The sequence below is a fragment of the Homo sapiens genome, chromosome 12 (assembly GCF_000001405.40).
Source record: "Homo sapiens chromosome 12, GRCh38.p14 Primary Assembly".
Lineage (NCBI taxonomy): Eukaryota > Metazoa > Chordata > Mammalia > Primates > Hominidae > Homo > Homo sapiens.
Genome location: NC_000012.12, coordinates 74,169,328 through 74,191,592, shown reverse-complemented (window position 1 = coordinate 74,191,592; position 22,265 = coordinate 74,169,328). Strand labels below are relative to the sequence as shown.

Sequence of the window (22,265 nt, the reverse complement as noted above, 5' to 3'; positions counted from 1 at the left end):
ACATGACAAAACACAGGCTTTGGGGCTGGAAGACCTAAGACTTAGTTCTACCTTTGCAATGTTCATGGCCTTGAATAATTATTTATTCAGTTGATGCCTCAACTTCTTCCTTTGAAAAAATAGAAATAATGCTAATGGTAAATTAATAGGATTTTTATGAGAATGGAGTAAGATAATGAATGCAAATCAATATTTACTCTGCCTAGGGTATAGTCAGAAACGTTTCTCTTCTTTTACTTAACTTTAGATTTGATTTAAATGCAGCTCTAATTTATCCACAGAAAGAAGGAAGGATGAAGAAAAATAGATGGAAATAAACACAAAATAAGAGGATAATACAACTATTAAGTACCTGTAATAACTAAAATACAAATTTAAAAAACCTCACTTTTTGATATACGAAACTTTTTGAGAATTATGAAGTAGCTATGTTAAAGAAATGTATTATTAATATTATTATATAATTATATATATTATTTAATTAACACATGTTAAAATCATGTGCTTTTTTAAAAAAAGGGCAAGGTTGATCCCAAAAGTATCAGGCATTACAATATATAAATTAAGTTATAGTTGTTGAATTGGAATTTTATTTCATTTATTATTATTATTTTAAAATTTTGTTTTAGATACAAGAGGTACATGTGTAGGTTTGTTTAGAGGCATACTGTGTAATGCTGACGTTAAACTTGTAATGATCCCATCATTCAAGCAGTGAACTTAGTACCTGATAGGCAATTTTTCAACCCTTGCCTCTGTTCCTCCCTCTCCAGTTTTGGAATCCCCAGTGTCTATTGTTCCCATCTTTGTGTCCATGTGTACCCAATGTTTAGCTCCCACTTAAAAATGAGAACATATGGTATTTGGTTTTCTGTTTCTGAGTTAGTTTGCTCAGGATATGGCCTCCAGCTGCATCCATGTTGTTGCAAAGGACATAATTTCATTCTTTTTTATGACTGTATAGTATTCCATGGTGTATATGTACCACCACTGATGGGCACCTGGGTTGATTCCATTCCATGTCTTTGCTCTTGTGAATAGTGCTGTGACAAACATATAAGTGCAGGACATTTTCAGTAGAACAATTTATTTTCCTTTGGGTTAAATTCAGTGTGGATTGAATCAAATACAATCAAATTCATCTATATGTGTTTGCAAAAAAAAACAGGCTTAAATTAAATATTTTTAAAAAATTGAAAAAATAAGAAACAAAATCACCAATGGAAATACATTTTAAGAACATGAGTATGGCAAGGATAATGTTGGAAATAATTTATTTTGGAGGTATGATGATGAAAGAAATAACTTTGAATGAAGGAAGATATGAAATTAAGGCATTATATATGCCTTACTATATAGACAAAATACATGATGTGAAAGTTGGAGAAAATATGAAGAAAAGTAATTAAACTAAAGTCATAGTAGAGAATTCTAATATGTTCTAAAGAAATTGAATATATGAAATTAATATAGATACAGAAATTTTGGGAAAAGAGCACTTTTTTTTTTTTTTTTTGAGACAAGAGTTTTGCTCTTGTTGCCCAGGCTGGAGTGCAATGGTGTGATCTTGGCTCACTGCAACCTCTGCCTCCCGGGTTCAAGTGATTCTCCTGCCTCAGCCTCCCGAGTAGCTGGGATTTGGGGCATGTGCCACCACGGCTGGCTAACGTTTGTATTTTTAGTAGAGATGGGGTTTCACCATGTTGATCAGTTGGTCTCGAACTCCTGACCTCAAGTGATCAGCCCGCCTCAGCCTCCCAAAGTGCTGGGGTTACAGGCTTGAGCCAACACACCCAAAAAAAGAGCAAGTAATTGATAAAGCAAATATCCTAATGGATTTCAGAGAAAGACAAAAAGAGGAGACAGAAGAGAAAGAGAGGGGCACACTATACCCTACCACAGTAGAAAGCATACTCTTTTCAAGTAACTATAGATTATGTATGAAAAATTACCCTTTAAACTAAGTAATAAAGCCAGTCTTTACAAATTTGTATTAATTCATATTATATATGGTATATTTATGTGTGTGTGATATATCACACGCCCACACACAGGGGTGTGTGTGTGTGTGTATATATATATATGTATATATATGTTTATATATATGTTTCATTCATTCATTGTTTGGTTTCAAGGGTATTTAATTATAAATTAATTATAAAAAGAAGAAACACAGCCAGGTGTGTTGGCTCATGCCTGTAATCCCAGCACTTTGGGATGCTGAGTCAGGCCAACCACTTCACACCAGAAGTTTAAGACCAACCTGGCCATAATGGCAAAAACCCGTCTCTATTAAAAATACAAAAATGAGCTGGGCATGGTGGTGCATGCCTGTGATCCCAGTCCCTTAGGAGGCTGGTGCAAGAATTGCTTGAATCTGGGAGGCAGAGGTTGCAGTGTGAGCTGAGATCACACCACTGTACTCCAGCCGGGGCGACAGAATGAGACTGTGTCTCAAAAAAAAAAAAAAAAAGAAAAGAAAAGAAAAAGAAAAAAAAAGAAAAAACTAAAATCCTATAGTTTCACATACTTCATGATTCAAGAGAAAAAAATAAAATAAATTAGGAACTCAACTGAAATGAAATACCACATAACAAATCATTTAAGACACAGCTAAGATGACAAGTAGAAGTTACTTTATTATGTTAAATATATACAAACATGTTTTGTAATGAAAAAAAGTAAAAACGTGAAGAAGCAAACTCAAGAAACTATATATTATATATAATGTTTATATATGTAGTAATATAACATTAAATGAGTCTGAGAAGACCAATGAAGCAGACATTTTATTATTTTATTAATCAACATAAAAGCTGTAACATATAAGTAAAAAAGTTAAAGTATAAATATGTTGTACAATATATTTTTATATATGTATACATTGTGCAATGGCTAAATCAAGCTAATTAACATATTAAACGCCTCACATACTTATCACTTTTTTTGTGGTGAGAACATTTAAAATCTACTCTCTTGGCAATTTTCAAGTATGTAACATACTGATATTAACTATAGTCACCATGAGGTAGAGTATATCTATTGAACTTATTCCTCCTATACAATGGAATTTTTTGGATAGTTTGTTGTTAGTATGTAAAAAAATACTGATTTTGTATGTTACTTTTGTATCCTGCAACTTTACTAAATATATTTATTAGTTCTAACAGTTTTTTAATGGAATTTATTTACTTGAGTTTTTTTCTTAGTGAAGCTCAGAAGCTCAAGGTTTGTTAATTTTTTTCCTTAAAAAACACAATTCTTAGTTTCTTTGATCTTCTCTACCATCTTTTAATTTTCTATTTAATTTATTTCTGCTCTGATCTTTATTGTTTCCTTTCTTCTACTAACTCTGGGTTTGTTCTTTTTCAAGTTTGTTGAGGTGTAAGAGTATAGGTTGTTTATTATGAATCTTTCTTCTTTTTTGATGTCAGCATTTATAGCCACAGACTTTCCTCTGAGAAATGCATTCCTGAATTTTATAAATTTTCCTATATTCCATTTTTTTCTCTCAAGATATTTTTAAATTTCTTGTATAATTTCTTCCTTGATCCATTGGTTTGTTTGGAATCATATCGTTTAATTTTCACATATTTGGGTATTTTTCTGAAATTTCTCTTATGTATTTCTAGTTTTATACTATTGTGGTCAGAAAAGATACTTGATATGATTTCAATCCTTTTAAATGTGTTGACTTGTTTTGTGGTCTGACATATTATCCATCCATGAGAATGTTTAGTGTATATTTCAGAAGAATGTGTATTTGGCTACTATTAGATGGAATGTACTATATATATATCTGTTAGGTCCATTTTTATTCTGAAGAATAGTTCAAATCCAGTGTTTTCATACTGATTTTCTGTCTGGATGATCTGTCCATGATTGAAAATTGGCACTGAAGTCTCCTATTATTATTTAACTGCAGTCTGTGTTCATCTTTAGATCTACTAATATTTGCTTTATATATTTAAGTTCTCCAATATTGGGTGCATATATTAATAGTTGCTATATTGGCTGGGCATGGTGGCTGATGCCTGTAATTCCAGCACTCTGGGAGGCCAAGGTGAGAGGATCAGTTGAGGTCAGGAGTTCGAGACCAGCCTGGCCAACATGGCAAAACCCTGACTCTACTGAGAATACAAAAATTAGCCAGTCATGGTAGCAGATACCTGTAATCCCAGCCACTTGGAAGGCTGAGATTGGGGAATCGCTTGAGCCCGAGAGGCGGAGGTTGCAGTGAGCAGAGATTGCTCCACTGCACTCCAGCCTGGGTGACAGAGGGAGACTGTCTCAAACAAAAAAAAAATTGTTATATCTTCTTGAGGAGTTGTTCACTTTATAATTATGACTTTCTTTATTGTTTACAGTTTTTGGCTTAAAATCTATTTTTATCTCAGACAAATATAGCTATCCTAGCTCTCTTTTTGTTTCTATTTGGATGAAATATATTTTCCATCCTTTTACTTTCAATGTATCTGTATCCTTAAAGGTGACATAAATCTCTTATAGATGATGTGTTGTATTTTTTTTTTAGATGAGTGTTATATATTTTTTTATCCATTTGGTCATTCTTTGCTTTTTGATTGAAGAATTTTGTCAGTTTACATTCAAGGTAATTATCAATAGGTAGGGACTTAACTGTTGACATTTTGTTAATTGCCTTTCGGCTGTTTCATAGATCTTTGTTCCTTTCTTCCTTTTATTAAGTACCTTTGTGATTAGATTTTTTTTCCTCTGGTAGCATGCTTTTAATTCTTATTTTTAATCTTTTGTATGTCTACCAAAGGTTTTTGCTTTATGGTTATCATGAGGCTTACATAAAACATCATAGTTATAATAAGTTATTTTAAACTGATAACAACTTAACTTTGATCACATAAAACAACTCCTCTGCACTTCACTCCCCCATCTACTTCTTGATGTCACAATTTCCATCCCTTTTATGTTATATATCTCTTAGCAAATTATTTCAGCTATTATTTTTAGTAATTTCTTTTAATCTTCATACTAAATTATATATAAGTAATTTACATACTATCATTACAGTACATACTTTTACCAATGAATTTTGTACCTTCATATGTTTTCATGTTTCCTATGTTTCATATGTAACATGAAAGAAGCGTCCTGTTCTTTCAGATTGAAGAATTCCGTTCAGCATTTCTTGTAAGACAGTTGTGGTGGTAAGGACCTCCCTCAACTTTTCTTTGTTTTGGAGAGTCTTTATGTCTCCTTTTCTGTATGACAGCTTTGCGAGGTAAAGTATTTTAGTTGACAGTTTTTTCTTTTTCTTTTTTCCTTAAGCACTTTGAATATATCACCCCACTTTCTCCTGGCCCGTAAGGTTTCTGTTGAAAAATCTGCTGCTAGTCTTATTGGAATTTCCTCATATGTGATTTGATTTTTTTGATGCTTTCAGGGTCGTCTCTCTGTCTTTGATTTTTGACAATTTAATTATAATATGTCTCAAGATAGTCTTATTTGGGTTGTCTGATTGGAGACCTTTGAAAACCTTTCTGTATCTGAATATTTACATCTTTCCTCAGATTTCGAAAGTTTTCTGCCTCTATTTCTTTAAATAAGTTTTCTTCCCATTTGTCTCTCTCTTTTTTTTGCAAACTCCTATAATAAAAAAAAAATTTGCTGTTTTGATGCTGTGTTATAAATCCTATAAGTTTTCTTCATTACTTTTCTTGTTTTTATTGTTGTTTTCGCTTCTGTTTAATTTCAAATAACCTGTCTTCAAGTTCATAAGTTCTTCCTTCTGCTTGACCAATTCTGCTGTTGACTCTCTATTACATTTTTTATTTTATAGTACATTTTAGCTCTAGAATTTCTGTTTAATTTGTTTTTAAATAATTTCTATTTCTGCTAAATTTCTTAGTTTGGTCACTTACTGTTTTCCTTATTTGACTGAATTGTTTCTCTCTATTTTATTAAAGTTTGCTAAGATTCTTTGAAATAATTATTTTTAATTCTTTATTTATCTCTAGTTTCTTTGGGAGAAATTATTGTGTCCTTTTGGTGGTGTTACGTCATCTTTTCTTGTAAATGTTTCTTGTTGCCTTAAATTGATGTCTGCACATTTGAAAAAACAGTCATCTTCTTTAGACTTTATGGGCTAGTTTCTCTAGGAAAGGCTTTCTTCCGTGGATGGGGGTGGTGTTGCAAGGGTGCTTATTGGTTGGAATGCAATTGTTCTGGTACCTGTGAGGGTGCAGCTGTGCTGTGAAGTCTCTGTGCAGCTCTTTTAGCTAAGGTCAGTCTTAACAAAAATTGCAGGGATCCTCAGTTGCCAATAATATGCATATCTGCAGTGGTGGCAAGAGTTGTTGGGTCTTCAGCGGTGATGGCTGCTAAGGTCCTCCCACTTTTTTTTTTTCTCCTATCAGGCAAGTTGTGGCTGAGGGAATCCCCCTTGTCACTGGCTCTGGCTTGCAGGCCCATTTATGGTGGTAGTAGTAGCACCAGTGCCCGATGAATGGTATCTGCAGAACAGCCATAAAGCTAAGACCTGACACATGAGCACATGTGGAGGGACTGTGGCTCTGCAATCTAGGGCAGTAATAGCAATGATGCCTCAGGCTCAGGAACTCCCACTACCAGGTTGGTAACAGTATGCAAGGCTGTAATGCTTGTGAAGTAGCTGGGGATCTGAGAATGGGAGCATAGGCTTGCACAGAGTTAAGAGCAGCTCCAGGGTGAGGGTGGGGCCTAGCTCTCCAAGACAACTAAGCCAGTTCCTGAAGCAGGGGCATGGTCAGTGAGACCTTGGCCCAGAGTGTGAACTAGCTCATTATGGTGATGGCTCCAGTGGAAAGGCACAGTGAAGCCACAGAGCACAGGTCTGATGTGTGGGCACTTGAAGAGTGGCCATGGCTTTGGGGTCAGGGTGCATGTGGTGTTGGGAGAAGTGGAAGCTCTTTTCCCATAGTGGCTCAACAGTTGCCACATCTTGGGTGGCAGGAATGTGCTGCCGTGTGTCCCTCTATGGGGTTCCCCAGAAGTTAAGGCTGTTTGTTACCTCAATGGCAAAAGATGCTTGTGTCTTCTGCAGAGCAGGCCGTGGGGAACCACATGGGTTTGCACCACGGTGCTGATACTCATTGCCTCCATCTTGATTCTTTGTGCCTAGCAGTCTCCTTCTGGGTATGCTGTCTCACCAGAGAGCATTTCTGTGTGAATATTCTCCATTTTGTTTTTGCTTGTTTGTTTGTTTGCACCATTATGTTGCTGCAGGGCCTTTAATAAGCTGTTGAGTCCTATGAGGTTTTTGTTTGTGGATATTTTGGTTTGTGGATAGTTGTCTATGTTTAATTTTTGTTGGTGGGGTGCAGACTGGTATCTCCTACTCTACCATCTTGGTGACATTGCTACCTCTGTATTTTTTTTAATTAAAAAATATACTGAATTTTGGCAATAATATAAAAATAAAATAAAATTAATAAAATTCTATAAATAATAAAATTAACCACAAATTCATAAATATTAAGCTGCAACATACAGTTATGAAGGAGATAATCTCATATTTCTTTTAGATAATTGAGAAAGGGAAAAAGGCATCTCTTTTTGTGTCACACTTCCTTCTTTATGTTATTAGCTAGATGCTCCTCATCTAGAATTTTATGTTTTCACATTTCTTAGAGCTCAATACTCACACTTATTTTTCTCTAATCTCTTTTAAAATGCATTTTAAAAATTACATTTATAAGTTGATGACTTCACATTTTCCTCTATTATTCAGGATCATATATCACTCTTCCAAGTAACATATTCACCTGGAAACAAAAACATCCTAAAATACACTGTACAAAACAGAATACTTCTTTCCCTGTCCAACACCTCCCCCTGCACAGCTCTTTACATGGCTCACTCCCTTTCTTCAGTTCTTCGTTCAAAGTTGCTTATGAATGCATGTTAAGAATGTTGTTCATTTATCAATAGTGGTATGGTAGCCTAAATGTATTTTTCAACATTCTATAGAGGTTTTCATCAACTTTGTATCAGAAAAGTTGAGGCTAAATAAGTATTTTTTGACGGAATAAATTATTTAAGTATTGAAATATTATAATCTGTATGTTATTTTGTTTATCATTTCTTCTGATAGCGAAATAATTGGAAATGCCTAAATGCCTATCAAGTGTGAAACTGTTAAATTATAATGTCTCTATGCACATATAAATAATGTAAACAGAAATATGAAAATGACATGACAAAAAACAGGCAAAAAAAATTCAAAAATATGTTTTATACCAACATTTATTTCTGTATATTGTGCTATGCATCTCTCTATATGATTGTTTACCTCTTTTTTTAAAAAAGACTAGCAATGTTAATCATGAATCTCTCTGATTTTGAAGATTTGGACCTCATTTTGTAATAAGAAAATGTATTATTTTCAAGTGTTCTTTTTTTATGTAAACATGTACTAATACATAGATTAACATATTTTGTTAACATTTGAAAATACCCCTTTTACAAAAATTTTCTATCATCTTTGGACTAAAATGTTAACTTACTCAGCTTTTTCCAAATAGCTTCCATGCTTATGTCCAGAGAGACTGCACAGAGATGGTGCAGTCTCTCCGAAGGCAGGATGACTATGGAAGGAGTAGCATTGGTGAAAAGTTTCTGTGACAGGTGTCACATGGGAAGCTGTCAAATAGGCCTTTAGATAAAGTTTGGAGCTGAGAAATATGTGCCAAGGGGATAAATAAATTATGCCATGCAATTACAAAATTGTCATTTTAAAAGTTGACAGTGGGTACGAGGTAATAGACATGATTACTATTTAGGATAAAACGATTAATTAGTTATAAATTTTTCACTAAATAAAACACGTTAAGGACTAGATACCATTAGATTTATTATGGTCCGCCTTTTATATGGTCATCTGTGATGTCAACAAAAAGATGTTTTCAGATATTCAAGGGCTTTGACAAAATAACACACAAATTCCTTCACTTAAAATTTAATCAAAATTTATTCTAAGTCACCAGGAAGTCAGTTGAAATTATTCCAGATTTGACAACGATGGTATAATAAAATTGTTAATGAAACCACGAAGACATGAAGTTAAGAGCAATGAGGTAAATACATAAATAACTAAAAATGTAGAAACTAGTAAATGTCCCTTGAGAGATTATATGCAAAATTCAATTCAGTTTAGGCAATGGATATTCCTTCATTGCAAAAGGCCAGGGATAGATGAGAAAGAAGGTGACAATGGAACTGGGCCTTATTGGGTAAGGTGAATTTGAACATGGAAAGCATGTGAGTAGATAGTTCAAAAAAGATGAGCAGGGGCAAATACATAGGCTGGATAAGGTGAGATGTTTGCACCTTTCACAGGTCCCTGTGAGAGCAGCAGGTTTTCGCAGGGAAGCATTGGGTTACTCAGCAGGACAGTTAGATTAGTCTAGACTGGGTGGGCCTTCAAATTTGTAGATGCTTTCACCATCCTCCACTAAATGAACAATTGTTCCTTACAAATCCAACCCAATAATTTTATTTTATTGTAACAAAAATACATAATATGTTGTTTTAAAACTTATCTTTAAGAATAGTAGTTGTCTGTTATACAAAATAAATTGTTAATTTTCAAGTAGAATTTCTTAAGTACTAGATCTGATGATTATGCACTATCCTACAAGAAAAGATTCAGACAGGTAGGAAAATTAACAAGTCATTAAGTAAACCAAATACTTTAAAATGTACTTTGCTTCAAATAATGAAAATGGTCATTTAAAAATATGATTATAAGACAGCGATTGCAAATCAACTCCAATTAACTGTAAAGAAATTGTATGTAATTGAGAGAAATTCTTAAAATGTACACATACTCAGAAGATATAAAAAAAAATTTAAGGTGCTCCAGTCTGGTCAATAGAGTGTAGTTTTAATGAACATATAAACTTTAAAAAGCATTATTTCTCAAAATAAATTTTTATTAGTAATTAATAAACAAATTTGTTTCACATATTTGCAGAATGATGTATGCTACATATGAACATATCTTAGCATATATATAAATTTATAAACCTGTTACATTATTTCAGGTTCATGCTTATACCAATGTTAATATTAAATTGCTAAATACACAAAACAAGAAAATAATTCAATAAGTATTTAATGGAGAATAGTTAAAGTTATCTGTTTTCAATTGATATTACATTTTAAATTTTATTTTTAGCTTGTTCCTACAAGTCTTTTATCTCTCAGTGTAATCAAATTCTTCTTTTCTGAGCTTTTTTTTTCCTTAGAATGATTGCATAGACTATGTAAATTATTGTAAGCTCATAGTCAGAAATCTACAGAAAATTAAAACAGATCTAAAGAAAATCAAGCAAAAAAGAAAGTTAATCTGGAAAAAAACCCAAGACATATTCAGAACCATTTTCACTACTTTTTCCTATCTCATCACTATCTATACTTAGCATATTCTCTCCCCACTTTTCATTCTTTGAAAATGAACTCAAATGGCATTTTGTAAGTAATATTTTTATTTTCTGTTCTCCTGGAATGTGAGAGTCAGGCATCAGACAAATGTCATTTGTGTGTAATCCTTGCAGTTCTAACTTTTCACTGCGGCATGATATTTCACCTATCAAGTCACTATTCTATTTTAAGAGAAGTAAGTGTCTCTGCCTTAGGAATTTCCATAAGAATTTAATGAACTGCGATATAATGCATAAAGAGCTAAGAATTATTACCTGTTCTAGTATCATATTCCCATGTTGTTCTATAAATCCTTTAACTCTTCAATCTTTATCCTCTGATTTTTTCCCTTAAATCAACTCCAGTCAGATTTTCCCCCAAACACTGAAAATATTCTTGACAAGGCCATCAACTACCACTATGGCTAAATTCAATGTTATTTATCAGTTCTCATCAAATTGCAGCTCTGTTTGACACAATTGATTACTCCCTCCCTACAAGAACTTTTTACTGTCTAGCTGTCAAGGCCACACACCACCACTGATGTTTTCCTTCTTCAATTACTGACCACACCTCTTCATCCACACTTGCTAGTTTCTCTTTATATCTTCAACTCTTTAATATAGAGAGTGTCGAGGACCACTGGCCTTTCTCCTTTGTCTATACTTACTCCATGATAATCTCATGAAGGCTTCATGTAGAAGACTCCCACATTTACATCTACTATGAATACAATACTTGCAGATCCAATTGCCTACTGATATGGTTTGGCTGTGTCTCAGCCCAAACATCGTCTTGAATTGTAGTTGCCATAATCTCCACATCGTGGAAGACACCAGGTGGAGATAATTGAATCACAGGGGGCAGTTTCCCCTATCCTGCTCTTAGGATATTGAGCTAGTTCTCATGAGATCTGATGGTTTTATAAGGGGCTTCCCCCTTTGCTGGACACTCATTCTCCTCTCTGCCACCATGTGAAGAAGGATGTGTTTGCTCTCCCTTCTGCCATGATTGTAAGTTTCCTAAGGCCTTCCCAGCCCTGCCAAACTGTGAGTCAATTAAACCTCTTTCCTTTACAAATTACCCAGTCTCAGGTATACCCTTATAGAAGCGTGAGAACAGACTAATACAGTAAATTGGTGCCGGGTGATGGAGTGCTGCTGTAAAGATACCCAAAAATGTAGAAGTGACTTTGGAATTGAATAGTAGACTGAGGTTGGAACAATTTGGAGGGCTCAGAAGAAGACAGGAAAATGTGGGAAAGTTTGGAACTTCCTGGAGACTTGTTGAATGGCGTTGACCAAAATGCTTACAGTGATACGGGCCATGAAGTTCAGGCTGAGGTGGTCTCAGATGGAGATGAGGAACTTCTTGGGAACTGGAGTAAAGTAGATCGGAGGCATTTTGCCCCTGCCCTAGAGACATGTGGAACTTTGAATTTGAGAGAGGTGATTTAGGGTACCTGGTGGAAGAAATTTCTAAGCAGCAAAGTGTTCAAGAGGAAGCAGATCATAAAAGTTTGGAAAATTTGCAGCCTGATGAAGCAATAGAAGAGGAAACCCCATTTTCTGGGGAGAAATTCAAGTCTGCTGCTGAACTTTGCATATGTAATGAGGCATCAAATGTTAATAACCAAGATAATGGGGAAAATATCTCCAGGGTATGTCAGAGACCTTCACTGCAGCCCCTCCCATCACAAGCCTGGAGGCCTGCAAAGGAAAAATGGCTCTATGGGTCAGGCCCAGGGTGCCCCTGTTGTGTGCAACCTCAGGACTTGGTGCCCTGCACCCCAGCTGCTTCAGCTCCAGCCATGGCTAAAAGGACTAAGTACAGCTCAGGCCATTGCTTCACAGGGTGCAAGCCCTAAGCCTTGGCAGATTCCACATGGTGTTGGGCCTGCAGGTGGGCAGAAGACAGGAATTGAGGTTTGGGAACCTCTGCCTAGATTTCAGAGGTTATATGGAAATGCCTGGATGTCAAAGCAGGAGTGAAGGAGCAGAGCCCTTATGGAGAACTTCTGCTAGGGCAGTGCAGAAGGGAAATGTGGGGTTGGAGCCTCTGCACTGAGTCTCCACTGGGGCATTGCCTAGTGGAGCTGGAGAAGAGGCCCATCATCCTCCATACCCCAGAATGGTAGATTCACCAACAGCTTGCAACACGCACCTGGAAAAGCCACAGACACTTAACCCCAGCCGTGAAAGCAGCCTAGAGGGGAGCTATAACTTGCAAAGCCGCAGGGGTGGAGCTCCCCAAGGCTGTGGGAGCCCACCTCTTGCATCAGCACGTCTTGGATGTAAGACATGGAGTCAAAGGAGATCATTTTGGAACTTTAAATTTTAATGAGTGCCCTACTGGATTTTGGACTTGCATGGGGCCTGTAGCCCCTTTGTTTTGGCCAATTTCTCCCATTTGGAACAGGTGTATTTACCCAATTCCTGTACCCCCATTGTATTTAGCAAGTAGTTAACTTGCTTTTAATTATACAGGCTCATAAGCAGAAGAGACTTTCCTTGTCTCAGATGAGACTTTGGACTTAGACTTTTGAGTAAAGGCCGGAATGAGTTAAGACTTTGGGAACTGTTGGAAGGGCATAATTGTGTTTTGAAGTGTGAGGACGTGAGATTTGGAAGGGAACAGGGGCGGATTGGTATGGTTTGACTGTATCCCCACCCAAATCTCATTTTGAATTGTAGTTCCCATAATCCCCACATGTTGTGGGAGGGACCAGATGGAGATAATTGAATCATGGAGTAGTTTCCCCCATCGTGTTCTCTTTATAGTGAGTTAGTTCTCACAAGATCTGATGGTTTTATAAGGGGCATCCCCCTTCATTGGGCACTAATCCTTCTTTATCCTGCCACCATGTAAAAAAGGACATATTTGCTTCTCCTTCTGCCGTGACTGTAAGTTTCCTGAGGCCTTCCCAGCCCTGCAGAACTGTGTTATCAGTTAATCCTCTTTCCTTTATAAATACCCAGTCTTGGGTATGTCCTATAGCAGCATGAGAATGGACTAATACACCTACCTACCAAATCCATTTGGATAGTTAACAGACATCTCAAACTTGATCTCCTCCACTCAATTTTGCCACCCCATTTTGCCTAATACAGTCTTCCACAACTCCTCTAGTTGCATAGGCCCAGGTGTCTCTTTTTACCTTCTCTGTCTCATATATCACATTAAATTCACATGCTGGCTGCCCTTCAAATATATATACAGAAAATCAGACATTTACTTACCCATCCACTACTTCCTCTCTGGTCCAAGGTTTCTAATAGCAAAAGCCTTTAAAACAGCACCTCAAGTTTTTATCTCTTCCTCTGGAATATATGCTTAATACTGTAGCCAGAATGATCACTTGTAAAACATATCTGGACTATGTTTCTTCTTTTCTAAGAAAATTTACAATGCCATCTCATATCGCTCCCTTTATTTATGAAATTTGGAAAATTCCCACATATATGTTCCTTACTTCTTTGATGTTTACTCCTGTTAACTTCTCTTACATAGCATGTTTGCCATACTGGCTTCCTTGCCTAAATTTTGAGCTTGCCAATTAGATTCCTACCCCATGGCCGTTGCACTTGCTCTTCTCTCTGCCTATGGTGCTTCTCTTCCACATATGTACAAGCTAGCATCTCCATCCACTTTAAGTCTTTGCTCAAATATAAGTTTCTAAATATGGATGCCCCATCATGACTATGTTATTTTAACTTGCAGCACTCCTTACTTCCCTTTCCTGCTTTAGTTTTCCCCATAACACACATACTTTATTTTAGTTTTACTCTGCTTTATCTCATTAGAATATAACCACTGTGAAGCCACTGACTTCTATCTGTCCCCACCCTGATCGAACTTTCCTAATAACTAGAAAAGTAGAACAGTATCTGGCATATAGCAGCCTCAAAATAAATATTTGAACTGAATTGCATTGAACTGAATTGAATGCCTTCTTTGAATATTGTGTTAGCCTGCTTGGGGTACCATAAGAAATATAGACTGCTTAAACAACAAAATTAATTTTCTCTCAGTTCTGATGGCTGGAAGTCCAAGATCAAAGTTCCAGCTGATTTAGTTTCTTGTGAGAGCTCTCCTCTTCACTTGAAGATTGACACTTTCTTCCTATGTCCACACATGGGCTTTCCTTGGTATATGCATGAGAAGGAATGGTAGAGAGAGAGAAAATAAAGAGAGAGAGAGAGAGAGAGAACAGAAGTGAGTGAGCTCTGGGATTCCTTCTTATAAGGGCATTACTCTTGTCACATATTACCATTACTCCCCACCCTATGGCCTCATTTAACCTTAATTACTTCCTTAGAGTTGCCATCTCCAAATACAGCCTCACAGTGCAGAGGGTGGGGCTAGGGTTTCAACCCATGAATTTGTTGATGTGAATGGAGGAGGTGACACAAACTTTCAGTTCATAACAGATACCAACTTTTCAATCTAGGCCATGAATTTTTAGATATAGATTATAAGTGTTATACTTGTTCAAATATAACACAATCCATATGAATTTGTTCTTAAAATGCTTATGAATATGCTCTCTTTCAAGCTCAACCATGTTTTCAGACAATACCTAATAAATTTCCAGCAGATTGTCATGAGCTATTCATTTATTCTAAAAACAATTTTCCTTTCCTTTTTTAATATGCTTAAATGTAACTTAATTAATTAGTAAAAAATGTTTCAAAGGATTCCAAGTAAAATGTTACAGATTTTGAAACTAAGTTAGTCCTAGGGTTTAGCATCTACTTATAAAATTAGTATTATCTGCCAGCATGTACGAGGCACACAGAAATAGTGGCTTATAAAAGTGGTATTTTCCCAATCAACAAAATGGAATAAAGCATGAAGGAAAGAAAGGACAGAAGTAACCAAAACAATAAAAGACCTAAATTAACTATGGAAACTGAACAGAAAAAAGCTTAGGCATGAAATAAAAAAGTGATTTGATTTGGTCAATTTTTATAGAAAATAATTCAAAGATAATAGATTTTCACTTTTATTTTAATTGAGGGCAGTTTAAGGGCAATATCTTCAAAATAAATTGTGTAACACCCATCTTGTTTGGGCGACATATCAATAAGTCAGATTTTTAAAGTTTCTTCAGTAAAAATTCTACATATGTTCAACTTGCTTAAATTTTGTCACCAAATTTTTTTTCGTGCCATGTATCAGAAAAAGATGTTTACCCCCTGAGGTATATATACTTAATATGGTTTTCCTACATACTTACAGCTAAAAGCCCAGTCTAGGATAATAATTTTTACTTGTTTGGATTAAATAATACTTTTATCTATTTGCTTTTCAAGAACACTGTTATGGGAAGTCAGGGACCCTGAATGGAGGGACCGGCTGGAGCCATGGCAGAGGAACATAAATTGTGAAGATTTCATCTTGATATGGACATTTATCAGTTCTTAAATAATACTTTTATAATTTCTTATGCCTGTCTTTAATCTCTTAATCCTGTTATCTTCATAAACTGAGGATGTACATCACCTCAGGACCACTGTGATAATTGTGTTAACTGTACAAATTGATTGTAAAACATGTGTGTTGGAACAATATGAAATCAAGGCACCTTGAAAAAGAACAGAATAATAGCAATTTTTATGGAACAAGGGAAGACAACCATAAGGTCTGACTGCCTGCGGGGTTGGGCAAAAAGAGCCATATTTTTCTTCTTGCAGAGAGCCTATAAACAGATGTGCAAGTAGGAAATATGTCACAAAATTCTTTTCCTAGCAAGGAATATTAATATTAATATCCTGGGAAAAGAAGGAGTTCCTGTGGGGAGGTCTATAAATGGCAGCTCTGGGAATGTCTGTCTTGTGCAGTTGAGATAAGGACTGAAATAAGCCCTGGTCTCCTGTAGAACCCTCAGGCTTACTAGGGTTGGGAAAACTCAGCACTGGTAAATATGTGGTCAGACCGGTTCTCTGCTCTTGAACCCTGTTTTCTGTTGTTTAAGATGTTTATCAAGACAATACGTGCACTGCTGAACATAGACCCATATCAGTGGTTCTGCTTTTGCCCTTTGCCCCGTGATCTTTGTTGGACCCTTATCAGTGGTTCGCTTTTGCCCTTTGCCTTGTTCCCTCAGAAGCATGTGATCTTTATTAGACCCTTATCAGTGGTTCTGCTTTTTGCTCTTTGAAGCATGTGATCTTTGTACCTACTCTCTGTTCTTACACCCCCTCCCCTTTTGAAACCCTTAATAAAAACTTGCTGGTCTGAGACTCAGGTTGGCATCATGGTCCTACCAATATGTGATGTCACCCCTGGTGGCCCAGCTGTAAAATTCCTCTCTTTGTACTGTCTCTCTTTATTTCTCAGCTGGCCGACACTTATGGAAAATAGAAAGAACCTATGTTGAAATATTGGGAGTGAGTTCCCCCGACAGAACACTGTTTACTTTGAACCATTTAACATTGGTGCCCAATTTAAGATTTTCTACTAGGAAATATCATCCATTACCCTTCTATACTTTATAAGCTCTACAAAAACTTAAGAAATAGTAGATAGACATTAAGCCATTCCTAAATAATATTTTAGAACTCAACAGACTTTACATAAATCTGAATGGAGGAGTGATTCTCTACAGATGTCAGAGACCCATCATAGCCATGGTATTATTGGTTATACCAGGAAGCCCTACTGAACCTGGAAATATACTGAACTGTCATAGACTCCATGCTATGCAAAATCTACACTTGTAAAAATATTTTGAGTTGAATTGACATTTCTGCTTTTGAAAAACTTTATCTTCTAACAAGCTAATATTCTTTGTTTTCTCCTTCCACCTATTTGTAATCTTAAATAACCACTGTAAATTGTGTTAATTCAAGTTTATTTACTGCACATGAAAACAGGTCACTGAAATGTGTAGGTACTGAACAACTTAAAAAAATGTTTTCACATGTTTCAAGGTGTTTAAAATAAGCATGGATCTTAAGTACTTACTAAAAATTAATTATATTGTAAAATAAAGTGTTCAGTTTGATGGTAATAAAAATTCACTAAAATACAAAACTACAAAAATACTAATATAAATGTTAAAAAGATACAATTTACACCCTAAAACTTAAAGGATAATAATAATAAAATATAAAATTAAAAAAAGATACAATTTACACATTTATTAGAATTTCTAATCAGAAAAATACAAAATTTAATATACTTAAAACTAGAGCTATACTTTAAACATTAAAAGGATAATTTGAAAACATAGCCAATAATCTAGGCAACTGAAACAAAAGGTCAAACAACAAACCTTCATTCTTATTTTGCAGTTTCTAAGCATTTAAATGATAAATATTTTTGGCTGACCATTGGAACAAATGCATGATTTTTCCAGTAAATATGTGAAATAATAGTCTTCAAAAATCACTAATTTACCACTTTATGTGCTTTTACAAAAAATGCTATCAACATTATTTTAATAGAAACTAATATTTTTTTAAAAAAAGTGTTCTAGCTGTTCTACACCAAATACATTGATTTAAAAAAATCCGCTTAGTTTTTCAAAAGTGTTGGGAATATTCTAGATTCTTGCTATTGTTTGTTTGTTTCTTAGAATTCACACTGTATTCCACAACTATTCCATGGCAGACATAGCCACTCTGATAAGATCCTTTTGGTGTAGGCAAACAGAGAATACTAGTACGTTTCCACTAGCATTCCCATTCTATTGGCTGGCATCAGAATGTTGTCTTTTCATGGGGTGTATTGGTGGACTCTTTTGAAGCTGCCTTCCTCAGGGTATACATACTGTACAGTGTGTATCCTGACTTGGCAGAGCTACTTTTATGGCATCTCTTAACCTATAAATTAATGCAGCTGGGCCTTTGTCTCTGCTTCCCTTTCTGCTTGCCCTACTAATCATGGCTCACCCAGGAGACTAACAGTCTTCAAAATTCCTCAGAAGGAAAACAGGCTGTAAACACTGAGTATACATATATATACACATATATATAGTGTGTATATATATTCATATATATGAATGAAAATTCATATATATGAGTATATACATATATTCATATATATATTCAAACAACTAAAGACAAATGTCAGTTTCTCAAGAATATTTTTACCATATTCCCATCCAGTGGCAGTTCTGGGATGGGCCTAAGGGTTTCTACAGCTTTTGAAACATCCAACCAGAAGTGATTAATGTCAATTTCTCTTTAGTAAACATCTCTAATCTCTCTGAGATGGAGCTCCTTTCAGTTATCCTAGTGAGCTGAGCATGAACAGACTCAGTTTCTTCCTCCAGTGCTCTCCATTTTCTGCTTATATGGCTGGATTGGTAGGAGTGAAGATTGAAACACTAGTTTGGCTTATCTTCCCTCTAAAAAAGGAGGTGGAGTCTGGGGTGGGAGGACTCTGGAAGTTACATATTTGTTTTATAATGTGGCAAGTCTCGTTGTCTATTGTCCTCAAATTTTCAATAAAAAAACTGGGAAAGACCCATTTTATGTAATGAGCCCAGATATTTCATTCATAGAACCAAAATTTCTCTATAATATATAAAAGGGAGGGGGTGGGAGTTGCGGAGAGCAAACATTACAAAATTGCAGAAAAGAGACCATTCCTCTCATGTATAAAAACATTCTGTTCTATGAAGGTGTAATCCAGAGTGATGTGTTAAAATAAATATAAAATTGGGGATCAATTTTGTGTGAGTGTGAGGATAAATGCTAGGCTTTCATGGTCATTATATTAGCTCAGAATAAAAACTCAGTGCTCTAGAGGTATCAGAAACAGCCTTTATAAGTATTTCACTCACTTTTTCTATAGTACACAAGGGAATGTCTATTAATATATATTTTACTGAACAAGACACTCTTTGCCTTCCATTTTCCCTGCTTTCCACCAAGCACAAACCTTCCATGCATTCAATAGAGAGTTAAAGCAAAATCTATTTCTGTGCGTGATGTGGCAGTCTGATTTACTAAGAATTAAATGTGGCAGAATAACGTATTGAGAAATTTAATAACTGTCTAGTTTTTATTTTGCCATAGCACCAGAAAATGGATAGAGTGTTATTTTCTTTCACTCTCCATTTGCGTCAGGGTAGCATTGAGTTTGTGTCCTTGAGTTCTGGGATTCCTTTTTTTCCTGGGTAAGGAGGGAGAAGAGAGATTTTTGGGAGTTTGTGAGCAATGGAGAAGTTGTCATGTAGAATATGCAAATAATAAGTATTAAAAAGTTAAATCCTCAATGTCTTCCTCCACCCATTCCAATTTTTTTTTTTTTTTTTCAATGAGCACGGGGACTTTATTACACAGCACGGTTCTCATACCTGTTTCCAGAACGCTCAGTAGTAAGGCCGTCTGGGATTGTTCAGGGGGTTGGGCCGGAAGCGGTAGGCCAGCATCATCTTCTTGCGGAAGGCCTCGTACTCGTCGTCCTCCTTGGAGAACTCGGCCAGCCGGTCAATGCTGAAGCCGGCACCTTCCACTGTGGTGGTGGCCTTGTTGACTGGGTTCTTGATGCCCTGGCCCTCCGAGCCCAGCCCCTCGCCTTCCTTCCAGCCCATCTTCATCAGCATCTGATAGCCAGTGTTCTCCACAGTCAGCCTGAACTCCTTGTACTCCGAGTAGTCAGGCTCACGGCTCTCCTTCAGGGCCTTGAGGATTTCCAGAACTTCTCCAGCTCGTCGGGAGGCAGGAAGTCTCCCATGAAATGCTTGCCCTAGCCCACCTTTGTCAGCTGCTTGGCCCATTTCCTGGTCTTGTCCATCTCCATGCGCCGCAGCTGGTGCTTCCAGGTGCCCAGCTCGCTGTCCACCTCCTCGTCGCTGTGGTAGCCGTGCTGGTGCTGCATGTCCTGCATGGCCCGCTTGTGCTGCATGATCATGTCGTATATCTGCTGCATCTCCTGCTGCTCCTTCGGCTGCTGCTTCTGGGCGTCCGACAGCTCCGTGACGCCCACTAGACCCACGGGCTTCCCCTTCTTATAGCCGAACCCCTTGCGGTCCTGAACTGACAGAGGCGAGGGAGAGGCGTCCACGTCCCTCTGCACCAGCTCAGCAGGTGGGAGTTCTGCCTTATTCTCTTCTGGCCTCCACCGGCTCTTCCGCTTCCTCTTCACGGTGGCTGCCGAGGCTGGCTTCCCTGGAGCGGCTGGAGCAGGGATGACGGAGAACGGGGGGCGGGAGGCGCAGGCGGGGACGAGATGGGACAAGTGGTGGCCGGAGGCAAGACCCTAACAGGGCCTCAGGAGGGGACTTGGGCTTCAGGCCGGGGTCGGGTGCCCTGAGGCTGCCTGTGGAGCCGGCCTTGGCTTTCCGGAACTCCTCCCGCTTCTATCGGTAGTACTTGTATCCTTGGCTGTTAGTCTCGTACAGAAAGCTGAATGCCTGGTTCTCACAGTTGTTCTGGAGGGCGATGGTTTCCACCTCCGGATGCCAGTCTACTACGAACCTGGCCAACTTCCCTGCAAGGTTCTTGACCTCTTCATCCTCTGGGAGTGAAACTTTTTGAGAGGCTGCCTGCGACTTCTGTGCTTCCTTTCTTATCTCAGCCACCTTCTTTCTGTAGTAGAGAAATTCTCTGCTATTCTTATCCTGCAAAAATGCAAATGCCGGGTTTTCCTTGTAGTCCTCTATAGCTACTTTTTTCTATCGCGGGGCCTTCTTCTGCCACAAAGTGGGCCAATTTCTCTATTACTTTCCGAGTCTCGGTTCCCTCTGAGGGTGAAACTTTGAGCTGGGATTACAGGCGCCCACCACGACGCCCGGCTAATTTTTTTTTTTTTTTTGTATTTTTAGTAGAGACGGGGTTTCACAGTGCTGGCCAGGTGGGTCTCGAACTCCCGACCTCAGGCGATCCTCCTGCCTTGGCCTCCCAAAGTGCTGGGATTACAGGCGTGAGCCACTGCTCCTGGCCTCTACAGTGCAGTTCTATGGGAAGAAATTCACTTTATTTTATAAAATGTTACTGTAAAAAAATAATATAAAAACGTATTTTCAAGGCAGTTAAAGAGATGTAGAAACCCATGCTTTGGATTATAAATTAATAAGAACAAATAAGAAATGGGAAGATGGCAGTGGGTAAGCCCAAAATTAAATACTAAAACCATACATTGATTATTTAGAAATGCCAAAAACATACATTGATTACTTAGTAACAGTGGGATACAAAGTTTCCTGAAACGAGGAATATAAAGAAGATCTTTATTTCATAGTGTTTTACAACGTCTCTAAAAATACTTATATTGTTCAATCACTAATCATCTACATGCTTCAGTGAACATACAAGTGTATGTGTCTTTTTGGTAGAAAGATTTTATTTTCTTTCAATATTTTCCCAATTTCTATACAAGTTGGACAGAAAAGTGCAAGTCATGGAAAGGGGAATAGAGTTTTTCAGTTAGCACATAAATCTGAGATTAATATTTAGGGCTCAATACTTTTTTTGAGATTGCATTTTTGCTTTTCTTCAGCATCATACATTTAGCAAAATTTTTAGATAATAAAATCATGATATAGCTGTTGAATTACCCTGTTTTCTTGAAAACTTTCTGAAAAATTAAGCTGATATAAAATTTCTAAATTATACTAATGTATCTATAGAAAACAACTTGAAAAGTTCCTATGTAACTTGCAGAGAAGTTTAACCTTTTTAATATAATAATACATTTATAATTTAATTTAGCTTTATTTCACCTGCAATTACACATGAGTTTGCTTTAAGATTTCTAAAAAAATCAGGGTATTTCATGTTAAGCATTATGGATATAAATATCTGAGATGAATTTAGCTAATAGTAAAATCTAAGATTTTTATCTCTTCTAGAAATTATCCTCTACCACTGTAC

General features: G+C 36.7%; 1 long non-coding RNA gene and 1 pseudogene across 1 annotated transcript in view, besides 1 other annotated feature; one reads left to right on the top strand and one right to left on the bottom strand.

Annotated features, from left to right (window-relative positions):
- LINC02882 (long intergenic non-protein coding RNA 2882) overlaps nt 1–22,265 on the top strand; it is a 159,459-nt gene that overhangs the window by 101,039 nt on the left and 36,155 nt on the right. The window lies entirely within an intron of this gene.
- On the bottom strand, nt 19,708–21,157 carry LOC100128674 (SURP and G-patch domain containing 1 pseudogene; annotated as a pseudogene).
- Nucleotides 19,994–20,494: an enhancer, noted in NCBI's record as "H3K4me1 hESC enhancer chr12:74564879-74565379 (GRCh37/hg19 assembly coordinates)". NCBI's record gives its function as "activates a minimal SCP1, AML or CMV promoter by ChIP-STARR-seq in naive H9 embryonic stem cells {active_cell/tissue: H9 hESC(naive)}" and the evidence as "EXISTENCE:reporter gene assay evidence [ECO:0000049][PMID:30033119]".